Source organism: Homo sapiens, chromosome 11 (genome assembly GCF_000001405.40).
Source record: "Homo sapiens chromosome 11, GRCh38.p14 Primary Assembly".
In the NCBI taxonomy this organism is placed as follows: Eukaryota; Metazoa; Chordata; class Mammalia; order Primates; family Hominidae; genus Homo; species Homo sapiens.
The window spans coordinates 70834055-70846170 of NC_000011.10; the positions used below are offsets into that span (position 1 = coordinate 70834055).

Below are 12116 nucleotides of genomic sequence, written 5' to 3' on the forward strand. Positions count from 1 at the left end.
GAAGGGAAGAAAATAAAATGTTGGGATGTAGGAAGCAATGCCAAGAAAATTCCCAGGGTTCTGGGGCAGGGGATGCCCTGATATCCCGGAGATTTATTAAGGCTCCACCCCATATTTCAGGGGGAGACGCAGGGGAGCACCTGAGCCTATTTCCACCTTAACACAAAATACACAGGAGGTGGCTCTAACTCTGGTCCCACCCCATATTTCAGGGGAAGACACAGGGGAGCACCTGAGCCTATTTCCACCTTAACACAAAATACACAGGAGGTGGCTCTAACTCTGGTCAGACTGAAGGCCCATGGGGAGCCGAAAAAAGAAAACAAACTCTAGACGGTCTCAGTGGCCCACCAGCCCAAGCTCCACTTTATCTTGCAGAAACAAAGACTGAATGCTGAGAAAGTATGTATGCAAGAGCCTCAGCCAGCGGGGGCCAAGCCAGGAGCAGGGGTGGCAGGTGCAGGGCAGGTACAAGCTAGAGCGGGATTCTTCCTGCCCATCCCCCACCAGATCCAAAATAGCATCTCTTGTTTCTTTCCCTCGTAGCTTTAGATAACTGCAATTTAAATATTAGTAGGCAACATTTCTCCATCTCACAATAATTGTTAAATGAATCATGCTTTTATAAATAACACAAGATATAAAAAGGCATCTCAGCAATAATGCGGGGTTATCTTTGCACAAAGAGGTAGGAGTCTGTGGTGTTTGTAACGTTCCCGTCACTGGAGTCATTGAGGGAAGCTTTGCTCCTGCAGGATCGAGGGAGGCCCGTGGAAAATCGGGGTGAGGGCACTGAGGAGCGGGCGTCGGAACCTCCCACAGGGTCTCTCTCCCTGGTTGGAGAGCTGAAAGGGGCTGGGGGTGTAACTCCAAGAGATACTACTCACCGGTTTTCTGACCCTGAATTGAGCTTTAGGGCCAAGAACATGGCTATTTTGGGGGGCAGCGGGGAGGAGCTCTGGAGGGTGAAGGTGGGTCTGACCACAAAGAGAGGTGAGGGGTTCCCAAGGTATATTCTAGAAGAATCACAGCCTCCAGACATTGCCTCCTCTGCCCTCCCTCCACGCAGCTCCAGCCTTGGCCACAGGCTCCCTGCAGAGCCACAGCCCCAGTGCACAGGACACTACTGTGTGCGGGACACACCTGAAGGAGGAGGGGTGGAGCCAAGGGGCGTGCAATGGCTTACGGGCAGCATGAACCATCCCTGTGGTGGCCCTTCTGAGAGCTGAGTGACTGTGGATACCTGGGCCTCCCACAGGGGAAAATGAGGCTTATGTGCTGAGACGTGCTCCGCCAGTTCTCGAGGACACAGGACGCTCAGTCAAGAGGCTCATGTGCTGAGACATGCTCCGCCAGTTCTCGAGGACACAGGACGCTCAGTCAAGAGGCTCATGTGCTGAGATGTGCTCCACCAGTTCTTGGGGACATGGTCCGCTCAGTCAGGAATCACAACCAGGGGCCGAGGTGCAGGCCAAGTGGGCTGGGGGCTTATGGAGGACCCTGGGGCCAGGGTGATCTTGCACCATGAGAAGAGATGTCCAGTCCCTGGGAGGAACTAGAGCTGAGCTGGAGGACCCCTCTTGGAGTGAGCCATTCTCTTTCCACAGGACCTGATGGGGTCCTTTGTTCCAGCTTCTTATAAAAAGAATGAAATCTGAGCTTGGTGGTGGAAGATGTGAGTCCTGGGTCAGTCTCTGACTCAAGGCAGGGTTCTGGGACTCAGTTTTCTCATCTGTAGAATAGGGTGACCAGCCTCATTCTGCTGAGGTCTCATGAGGTCTCTGAGAATCCTACAGGCTAGACAAACCCAGGCAGGAGAAGCCTGGAGATCTAGGGGCAGAGTGGGCTCCCTCTCGGACCTCAGTGGAGGCTGGGGGAGTGGGCACCCCGAGCCCACTGCACCCCGAGCAGGGCAGCAGCTCTCCCTGTCTCAAGCCACACTGGGGTGGGCTGCCCACCACCTCCTCTCCCATACAAGAGAGCCCACCAAGGTGCAGGAGGGACTCCTGAAATGTGGGTAGGAGTGTCGCTCCGTTTCCAGCCACAGACACCCTTTCACAACATGGCCTGCTTGCCCATGGGGGGCCAGGGGAAGGCCCAGCTCTCAGTCCTTAAGGGAGCGTGCCTGCTGCCTCCTCTTTCTGAGCGGCTGCACACTCAGAAGCAGCATGGCCCCTTAGCCCTGATTCTCAGGCCGGCTCCACACAGCTGCCACTGGGCACAGAGGGAAAGCTTGGGCGAGACTGGGGGTGAGGACAGTGCCCGCTTCCACCCTTGCTGCTTGAGACCTCAGGCACGTGGCTGTGCCTGTCCGAGCCTGAGCCTGCAAGTTGGAGAAAGGATAATAACAGCAGCTGTCTTGAAGGCCAGCAGTTGTGCAAGTCAACGTTTACAAAGTGCCAGGTATGGAGGGAAAGGACTTCCTGTGGGTGGCCCCGGGTGCCACCCAAGGCCTGGACCTCTACATCGTTCCTGTTGCTCCCCCATGGGTAGACGCTGTCTGGAGGGCCCTGCCTGCCTCCATCACAGCCTCTGCTCACTGTTCATAGGCTCCTCACCGCCTGGGCATTTGGTGCCAGACTGCAGATGCCAGGACCACACAGAAAGAACCACTGCAGCTGCCCAACGCCTGGGTGTCTCAGGACACATTCAAGCACTAGGCCCACCCAGCAGCTCCCCTCACAGACTGACTTTCGTAAAGCAGCACCTGAGACCATCTGAGGCTGACTACAGTCACCAAGTCCTGTGGCCTGAAGGTTTACATCCCCTCCAAATTCATGTGTTGAAACCCTAACCTCCCATGTCATGGTATTTGGAGATGGGGACATTGGGAAGTAATTAGGGTTGGATGAGGTCAAGGAGGTGGGACCCCATGATGGGACTGGTGTCCTTGTAAGAAGAGACTTGAGAGTTGGTCGCTGTCTGTCTCTCTGTCTCTCCACCATGGGAGGGCTCAACCAGAAGGCTGCCGTCTGCAAGCCAGGAAGGGAGCCCTCATCAGACACCCAATTAAGATCCAATCAAGGCTGGCACCTTGATCTTGGACTTCCCTCAGAACTTCGAGAAAAATGTTTCTGTCGCTTAAGCCACCAGTCTATGGTATTTTTTGTTAAAGTGGCTGCAGCTAATGAAGACACCAGGCAGACTGAGCATGCCACTGCCCCCTTACAGGCCACTGCCCCTTACAGGCTTCCAGGGGACTTACGCCATTGTCTCTGCTGCTCCTGCTCCTCCAGATGCTCCCTCACCCACACGGGCCCTGTCAGCTCCCTCCCACTGGCCTGGACACACCTCTGCCCCTGCTGTGCCTACCCTCCATCTGGCATTCCTCTGCCTGCTCTCCCCATGTCTGGCTGCTTCCAACTCCAGGCCTTGTGCATTCACGCTCATGGTCAACGCATGAGGAGGCTTTCCTTCACCATCCTGTCCAAGAGGGTTACTCTCTTAATCTCTATGCTAGCCCCTTGTGACTTTTTCCTTCATTGTATTTATTGAACATTGAAGTTATGTTAGTTTTAAGTTTGCTTATATGGTCTTTCTCCCCCAAGTAAACTGTAAACTGCTGACAAGTGCAGTCTGTCTTAATCACCACTGCATCACCAGCACAGAGCCCAGCCCCTCTCAAAGATGTGCGTTGAGGCCAGGCACGGTGGCTCATGCCTGTAATCCCTACACTTTGGGAGGCTGAGGCAGGCAGATCACTTGAGGTCAAGAGTTCGAGACCAGCCTGGCCAACATAGCGAAACCCTGTTTCTACTAAAAACACAAAAAATGAGCCAGGCATGGTGGTGTGCCTGTCATCCCAGCTACTCAGGAGGCTGAGACAGGAGAATCGCTTGAACCCAGGAGGCGGAAGTTCCAGTGAGCCAAGATGGTGCCATTGCACTCCAGCCTGGGCAACAGAGCAAAACATTCTGTCTCAAAAAAAAAAAAAAAAAAAAAAAAAAGAAAAAAAAAAGATGCATGCTGAGTAACTTCATCCAATAAATGAATAAATAAAAGGAAGGCACGTTCCTACCTCCCACCCTGGACTTGTATGGTGTTTGCCTCACCGTGTGAAATGTCTTCCCACCATGAACACTGCCTCCCTACAACTGGGGCCTTCTGGAAGACCTGGGGCAGGGGAGGGGCCTTCACACAGTTTTCTATGCTCAGGACACAACAGAAGACCCCGCACAAAGTGGGAGCTTATCAATACATGTTCTGGTTATCTTAGGTCCTTGTGTGCCTGCTTCAACACTTGGGTTGTTTGATGCTGCTTCTAACAATTGTGGCTTCCTTTGGTTGCACATTGCATTTTCCTTCTCTTCCTAGCTAGTAATTTCTGATTCTATGCTGGTCATTGTGTTTGTTATGTCGGAGAGACTCTAGGTTCTGTTATCTTCCTCTGAGGTGTGTTTAGTTTTTCAAGTAGGTAGTAAAACTATCAGTGCAATGCCTTGCCCCGTGGAGGTGCAATCTGAGGCTTTGTTGGGGGAGTCTCTGTTGATTTGGTCCTGGGATGGAGTCCTGACTCCTAGGGCCCCTCTGTGGCTCCAGCTCTGGATGTTTATCAAGCTCCTCTAACATGCTGGGACTCAATTCTATACTCTATCTCTCCTGTGGAAGAAATTACTGAAGTCTCCCCAAGGCACTTGGGCTTTTAGCTACTGTTTTCCACTGAGTCCCTGGACTCTCACTCTGCACAGGCCGATTCAACAATCCAAAAGGAATTTATGTGTAGACTTCAGGGCCCTCCACTTTCCAGGATTTCTATTGACTTCCAGTCTCTCAGGCAACTCTGACCCCAACCTCCAACCCCTGAATCCACAACACAGTAAGACTCCAGTTTATGTCAGGGGAAATCTAATTAATGTGGGCCTTACAAGGGTGGGGGGCCCCTCTTCTGTCAAGGGTCCCAGCATCTCTAGTTCTGTCTGCTTTTGGCCACTTGCCCAGGCCTACAAGCAGCTGGTGTTGGTGTTTATATAGAATTTGTCCCGCGTTTGCCACTGTAATTAACAGGAGGGTTAGTCTGACATGAGCTGCTCCATCACTATGGGAAAGCAGAAGTCATGGGCTCATCAATACATTTATAATTATATTTAATACAACACACTTGCGGATATTCAGTAAAGTGGGGGAGAAGTCATCCAATAGGCTCCTTCAAATTACTTTTTCATTCTAAATAAAACTAAGGACAATGGTAAAACATGTGGGCTCCAGAACTCAGACCATGTGCTTGGAGGTGTCTTGGTTGCTTTATTTGGTAACTCAGCCTAGAAAGCCCTCAGGGAAAGGGCGGGTCTGGGCCAGTGGCCCTCCCCACCCCACTCCACAGCCCGTGGTATCCGGCAGCCAGCGCAGTCTCCCCAGGTCTGGAGGCAACACACACCCCCCTGGTAGAGAGGGCGGGTACGTCAAAGGAGAGAGGGGAACAGGATGTGCTGGGACCACTGACTACGTAAGCCAAAAAGTCCTGAGCAGACAGGAGGTGCAGCCTTCCTGTGCCACTGGGCTCCTGGACCTGGACTTCCTTATACCCCATCAGGAAAGGACCACAGCCTTGGAGGGGGTTTATTTCAATACAAGAATCCAACTTTTGTAAGGTTTGAGTACCTCCAGGAGGCTGGAAGTGAAGGTGGGTTGAAGGGGAGGTCCCTTTTTAGATCGAGGTGTCCCCGGTAAAGCTGCCAGGCCGCCCTGGAAAAGGAAGCACTCACCAGGCGGCTGAGTGAGGCTGGTTCTCCACCTCAGTTCTTCACCTAGTTAGCGAATCCAAATGCACATTTATATTTTGGGAACTAATTAAGGCTCAGTGACTGATTTAACCTTCAAATAAATTCCTCCCAGGGCCGAGCTGGCAGCATAGTGAATATCAGGCACCACATCTGCATCAAGAAAACCTCAAAGTCTAGGAAGAACCAAAACCCAAAGGGAAGGGACATGGAGAGGAGGGAATGTCAAGCGTGAGGTGGGCTCGGCCGGCCAGCAGCTATGCAGCCCTGGGGCTGAAGGCAGAGGGCGTGGGGCCCACCAGCTGACTCCCCACATGGTGACGGCGTACAGTCTGGGAAGAACAGTGTGAGGGGCTTTGAGGACTCAGGCATTGTCACGGTCACAGCTTCCCAGGCAGTGAAAGCCTCACTGTGATCGCCACCTCAATGTCAAAGCCAACCAGAGGTGTCCCGACTCCTGGACAGGGAGGTAGTTGGGTGGGTGCCTCGGAGGGCAGGTGAGAGCTCACCTGGCACACTACAGAGCATGAGGCAGAGATGCCCAAGGGCAGGTCCGCAGACCCACCTGCGTGTTCTGGGTGCTACCTCTGCCTGGCTGGGAGTCCCAGCTCCCTGGAGCCTCAGTTTCCCCATATATCAAAAGGAGGCTAGAATGCACCCCAAAAGTCCTTCAGGCTGCAAGATCCCCCCTCTCAGCTCTGAGGAGCATCCTTGTCTGGGAGGAGCCCTCAGAGGAGCAGAGTGTCCATGGGCCTGACTCCTGGGATTCTAGGGGCATTAACTGACACAAAAGGTGGAGACCTGGGAGGGGAGCCCTCTCCCTCTGAACTGTCCACAAATAAAAGGGCACACAGCGGCAGCCACATACTGTAGCTCAGTGGCCAAGGAGAGTTCTTGGGACCTCAGCTATCAGGGCAGGGCTCTTCCAGGAAGTGGGAGCCTGGGGAGGGCTGGGGGGCCATATCGGGAGGCTGGAGCCTGCAGACTCAGGATCTCCCTCCTGGGTGCCGAGGACAGGGACAAGGAACTGCAGTGGGGGTTCTCATGCTGCAGCCATCCCAGCACCGGGCACTTCTAAGAGATGCTGATGAGGCCACCCCCAGCCATCAAGACTTGACTGTGTTTCACTGGAGCTTGATAAGACTTCACCTGAGAAACACTCTGGCTGGCTCTGATCTCTTCCAGAGGTGTATAAAACATATAGGAATAGGCCAGGCGTGGTGGCTCATGTCTGTAATCCCAGCATTTTGGGAGGTTGAGGCAGGTGGATTGCTTGAGGTCCAGAGTTCAAGACCAGCCTGGCCAACATGGTGAAACCCTGTCTCTACCAAAAATACAAAAAAAACAAAATTAGCCAGGCATGGTAGCGGGCACCTATAATCCCAGCTGTTCAGGAGGCTAGGGCAGGAGAATCGCTTGAACCTGGGAGGCAGAGGTTACAGTGAGCTGAGATGGCACCACTGCACTCCAGCCTGGGTGGCGGAGCGAGACTCCGTCTTAAAAAAAATAGCAATTATCACCGCAGTGAAAGGTGGGCAGTGGCAGCAGGTGATGCCTGTGACACGCCAGGCATGGAGGGCAACAGCTCACGGCTTCCATCTCTCCTTCCTCCACCGCCACCCAGGGCACAGCCATTTTCCCCATTACACAGCAGAGGAGTCCAAGGTTCAGAGCAGGTCAGCAACTGGATGGAGGTCACACAGCCAGGCCAAGATGTGCTTGGGCTTAGCCTGTGGAGTCTGCCTTTGGCCCCATCGCTGACCCAGCTGCTGAGAGTGAAACTCAAGCCCTGTGGTGCCACATTCCAGGAGGGTCTCCACCTTGGTTCTTCAGGAATTCTGGCTTGACCTGGGTGCCTGCGATCACTGTTGGAAGGTCCGGGGCCCCTTTCCGTCTGCTTCTCCCTTAGGCACTAGAGCCAGCTACTGCAGAATCGGGGTGAGTCTCCAGCCCGCAAAGCCAGGATGACGTGACTGCTCCTCCTGCCTGGCTTCTTGCTTCTCTTCAGGACCCAAGCATGCAGTGCCACTTCTGATCTACAGACCTTCTCAGGCCTCAACCCCAACCCTGACTGTGCGTGTCTGCTCGTCAGCTCCCAAATCTTCTCCAAGTCTTGGCTACTGTCACCGACCTGGGCAGACAACCCCAGAGCCCACAGCCTCCCAAACCATCCTTTACACACGGTCCTTGTGCTGTCACTGCCCTTATTCCTGGGACCTAACTGCCCTTCTCCCTTAACCCTGGGCTCCTCCAGGACAAGAGACCTTGTCTCTCTCTACTCCACACGCCCTGAAGCCTGGATGGGTGTCACAGCTATTTGGCCCATGCTTGTTCAAATCACGAACAGAACAAATGCAATATTGGCGATATCTGAAAACTCACCAAGCATTTACTTCCAAGTATATGAAATCTCATTATGTTATTAAAATATTTAAACATTTTACTAATTTCTTTTTAGTAAAATTTGACGATGGTTTTGCCTTCCCTTGACTTGGGGCCAAAACCCATGCTGGAAAGAGACAGACACTCCAGGGAATAAAGCATATTCCCTGCCGGGTGGCTCCAGACCTTTCTGCAGCACCATGGTGACCCCGAGGTGGTCAAGCTATGAGTCATGGAGGCCCATGGCCCACTCTGCTTCAATCAGCACTGGGGTTTCGCTGTGCCACCTTGGCCAGGCTGCATAACCTGTCTGAGCCACTGTCTCTCCATGTGCAAATGGTGTTCTAGGGCCCTCTCTGCACTTGTCCCTTTCAGGAGCTCCTTTAGCTTCAAAAGCAGAAGAGAACTGGGCACAGGGAGGGGTCAGCAGCCCTGCACCGTGAGCTCCTGCCCTGGAGCGAGCATGAGCCTCAGCCTAGGTCCCTCGGCCAGGAGTGGGTCCTGCTCCCTGCTGTGCCACCTGGGATTCTCGTGCAGCTTAAATGGAACTCGGCAAGGAAGCTGAGCCCTGTCCTGAAGCTAAAGGAGACACTGCTGGAGGCTCCCAGGGGGGTGGGAGGCAGCACGCAGGGTCTCCCCACCCAGAGGCCCAAGAGACGGCCGAGGTGAAGCTCCCTCCACACGGTTTCCTCTCAGCATCTGAGCTTGCACGGGGATCTGTGAGAATAACACGGACGGTGGAACCTTCCACTCCACAGGCTCAGGGGGCCGGGCTGGGCGGCCATTCCCTCGTGTCATCTGACTACCCTGACGCAGTGTCATACCCCTAACACAGGTGTGGCTCGCATCTGCACAGAGCTGCCCACACCACACCCTGGGCCTCAGACTCCCAGAGCGGGCTGGGCAGACCCTGGACTCTCACAGCATGTGGAAGGCTGGGGTGTGAGCCCAGAGCTGAGGCTGGAAGGTACAGGTTTCAGGTCATGGGGTCAGGGAGCAGAGGCTGCAGTGGAGATGCTCAGGTGGTGACTGTGACTGGGAGGTTGCAAAGACAGCTATTAGGGTGGGCTGGGCTGCTATGGGGTGGGCTGGGCTCCTATGGGGTGGGCTGGGCTGCTATGGGGTGGGCTGGGCTGCTAAAGGGTGGGCTGGGCTGCTATGGGGTGGGCTGGGCTCCTATGGGGTGGGCTTGGTGGGCCCCAGGAGGAGGAAGGGAAGCAAGTCTTGGTGGCTTTTGGGAAGAGTTTATGGATGGCTGGCGCTGTAGACAGAGCTGAAATTCGTATTGTGAGGTCCTGACTCCTAGTGGGACTGCATGTGAAGCAGAGTCCTTCACAGTGGTTAAGTTAAAGGGAGGCCACTAGGGTGGGCCCAAATCCATTCTCATTGATGTCCTTGAAGAAGAGGAGATGAGGACAAAGACGCACAGAGAGACGACCCTGTGAGGTCACAAGGAGAAGGCGGCACCTACAAGCCGCAGAGACAGGCTGCAGGAGGCCCCAGCCCTGCGACACCTTGATCTCGAGCTCCAGCCTCCAGGACTGTGAGAACATAGAGGCCTGCTGTTGAATGCCCCCCAGCCCACCTGCAGGGCTCTCTGCACACGGGAGACTGATACAGGGCTCAACCGATTCTTAGAGGACACACGAGTCAACTTCCCTAAAACAGAACTGCTCCAGCCCTCCCAATTTGGTGCTCAGGGACCAGGAGTTCACAAATATCTCCTGGTGCTTCCGTCGGAAGGCCTGTGAATGCCATCTCCTTGGGTGGGTGGCCATACCATCTTCATCTTCCTCCTCAGTTTGGGGACACGGCCTTCGTGGACGATTCTCCAGTGAGCCCTCAGTTTTCCTAGGGTAGGACCACACTGTGCTGCGTGCACCATCCCCTGTCCCATCTGAGTCCCCAAGGTGGTGGGAGCTCCCTGGGGGATGAGTGGGCGCCTCCATCCATCCACACACACCCAGCCCTCGCCTGGCTTCCCCACATCTCTGGACAGGAGGACTCTTCTGGCAGTGTGTTCTCCCTGCCACAGGCACCCCTACAACATTAGTTCAACTCATTAATACTCTGCTTAAAAAGAAAAATCTAATGAATGCCCCATTTTCCTAATTGGGTCAGCAGAGCATGCCTTGAATAGCATTCAAGCTGTTCAGTTTCTACCTGAAATTGCCATGCGTTTTTCCATTTGGGTTGGGGGGCCGGGGGCGGGGCATGAAAATCTCTCCCCCTAAATCCTTACTCCAGCCTTCACAGCCAGCATTCTCGACAAGGGGATCATCTAAAACGCTGGGCACGTTTCTCGACATAGCACAAACTCACTGGAACCATGGGGTTTGGGGCCGCAGTGGAGGAGTTGGAAACACAGGCTCCACGCCGGGCACTGCCCTTCACTCCCCACACTGAGCACCTGGCCCTCCTGCTGCAGCCCTTTGAGTAATCTCGTGGGATGTTACGTAATATTCCTGGAGGATACATGCTGTTCTTTTACATGACAAATTCCTCAGACAGGGATTATCTCAGTCCAGCTGAGATGCTTTTCGACTTTCCCCATGATCAATAACACGGCGGAGAACATTTTCACGCAGGTGGCACCTTTCTTCATTTGAATATTTTACATTCCCAGGAGCGGAAATGCCAGGTCAAAAGGTCTGAGCGCCCCCATGGCCCTGGGCACGTGTCTGGCCAATTGCTTTCACCAGAGTTATGCCAATTTATATGACCAAATCACTGGGACCCAATTTCTTCTTATGAAAATAAAATAGGGCTGGGTGCAGTGGCTCACACCTGTAATCCCAGCACTTTGGGAGGCTGAGATGGGTGGATCACGAGGTTAGGAATTCAAGACCAGCCTGGCCAAGATGCTGAAACCCCGTCTCTACTAAAAATACAAAAATTAGCCAGGTGTGGTGGCACACACCTGTAATCCCAGCTACTCAGGAAGCTGAGGCAGGAGAATCGCTTGAACCCGGGTGGCAGAGGTTGCAGTGAGCCATGATCGTGCCACTGCACTCCAGCCTGGGTGACAGAGCAAGACTCTGTCTCAAAAAAAAAAAAAAAAAAAAAGAAAAAGAAAGAAAGAAAAGAAAAGAAAATCTTTTTCTAAAATGAGGTATAGAGAAAATGGGTTTCAACCAGAGGACAATAAACTTCAAAGATGAGAGGACTTTCCACTGGAGTGGATTAGGGGAGACATAATTTCACGCTGAAGGACTCATCAGAACAGAATAGTTTCTCCTTCTCACAGAGAAATGGACTCTGATAACATCAGGCCTATTCCAAATCTCCAAGTCCATGGCATTTTTCCTACTCGGCTTCGTGAACTTCCAATGGAATGTGCTTATTGGCCCCGGGGCCAGCACGGGGCCATCTTAGGTGCCGAGGATAGAGAGGCGGTGTTGGAAGAAATGGGTGGGGATGCCTCCAAACCACCCACAAAGACCGTTCCCAGAGACCAGAGGCAGGAATGGCAGACAACCTGGTGACACTGAGATGCCAATAAAACCCAGGATTGATTGATGGAAAGACGAGCCAAGCCAGGGAAAATCAGAATGAAACAGACGGCCCCGGGTGAATGAATGCACATTTCCCATAATTACATAGAGATGGAAATAAGCAGCACAGAACAAAGCGAGAAGGAGAGCCCACTTCCAAGTTGTTTGCAGCAGAGGCTGAAAATAGACACCGGAGAGGTGGTGCTGGATAGAAACCGCCAGTGTTTGTCTCCGAGCTTCCTGCAATGAAACAACAAGCAACGCACTGGGGGCAGGAAACGGAGCCGTCAGAGGAAAGCACCCCAGAGACGCTGTTCCCCGTCTCCCGACACTGGAGAAACAGGTGGCCAAGGGCAGCCGCCAAGGTTTCCAGAGGCTGGTGCCGAGCCCAGAGAGACCTGAACTGGGTCCCTGGGAAAGCGGAAGGGCAGAAAAGCGAACTGGAGAGTCTAGAGTGCGCTTCCAGTGGGACAGCACCCCCAGGCAAAGTCAGCTAAAGAGGGTGCCGGTGGTGGGGTCTTTC

General features: G+C 53.6%; 1 protein-coding gene across 20 annotated transcripts in view, besides 4 other annotated features; it reads right to left on the bottom strand.

Moving 5' to 3' along the window:
• Positions 1-12116, bottom strand: part of SHANK2 (SH3 and multiple ankyrin repeat domains 2) — a 785381-nt gene that overhangs the window by 366201 nt on the left and 407064 nt on the right. The gene's annotated exons all lie outside the window — the stretch shown is intronic.
• Positions 391-965: an enhancer, noted in NCBI's record as "H3K4me1 hESC enhancer chr11:70680550-70681124 (GRCh37/hg19 assembly coordinates)". NCBI's record gives its function as "activates a minimal SCP1, AML or CMV promoter by ChIP-STARR-seq in naive H9 embryonic stem cells {active_cell/tissue: H9 hESC(naive)}" and the evidence as "EXISTENCE:reporter gene assay evidence [ECO:0000049][PMID:30033119]".
• Positions 966-1539: an enhancer, noted in NCBI's record as "H3K4me1 hESC enhancer chr11:70681125-70681698 (GRCh37/hg19 assembly coordinates)". NCBI's record gives its function as "activates a minimal SCP1, AML or CMV promoter by ChIP-STARR-seq in primed H9 embryonic stem cells {active_cell/tissue: H9 hESC(primed)}" and the evidence as "EXISTENCE:reporter gene assay evidence [ECO:0000049][PMID:30033119]".
• Positions 1540-2113: an enhancer, noted in NCBI's record as "H3K4me1 hESC enhancer chr11:70681699-70682272 (GRCh37/hg19 assembly coordinates)". NCBI's record gives its function as "activates a minimal SCP1, AML or CMV promoter by ChIP-STARR-seq in primed H9 embryonic stem cells {active_cell/tissue: H9 hESC(primed)}" and the evidence as "EXISTENCE:reporter gene assay evidence [ECO:0000049][PMID:30033119]".
• Positions 6100-6599: an enhancer, noted in NCBI's record as "H3K4me1 hESC enhancer chr11:70686259-70686758 (GRCh37/hg19 assembly coordinates)". NCBI's record gives its function as "activates a minimal SCP1, AML or CMV promoter by ChIP-STARR-seq in naive H9 embryonic stem cells {active_cell/tissue: H9 hESC(naive)}" and the evidence as "EXISTENCE:reporter gene assay evidence [ECO:0000049][PMID:30033119]".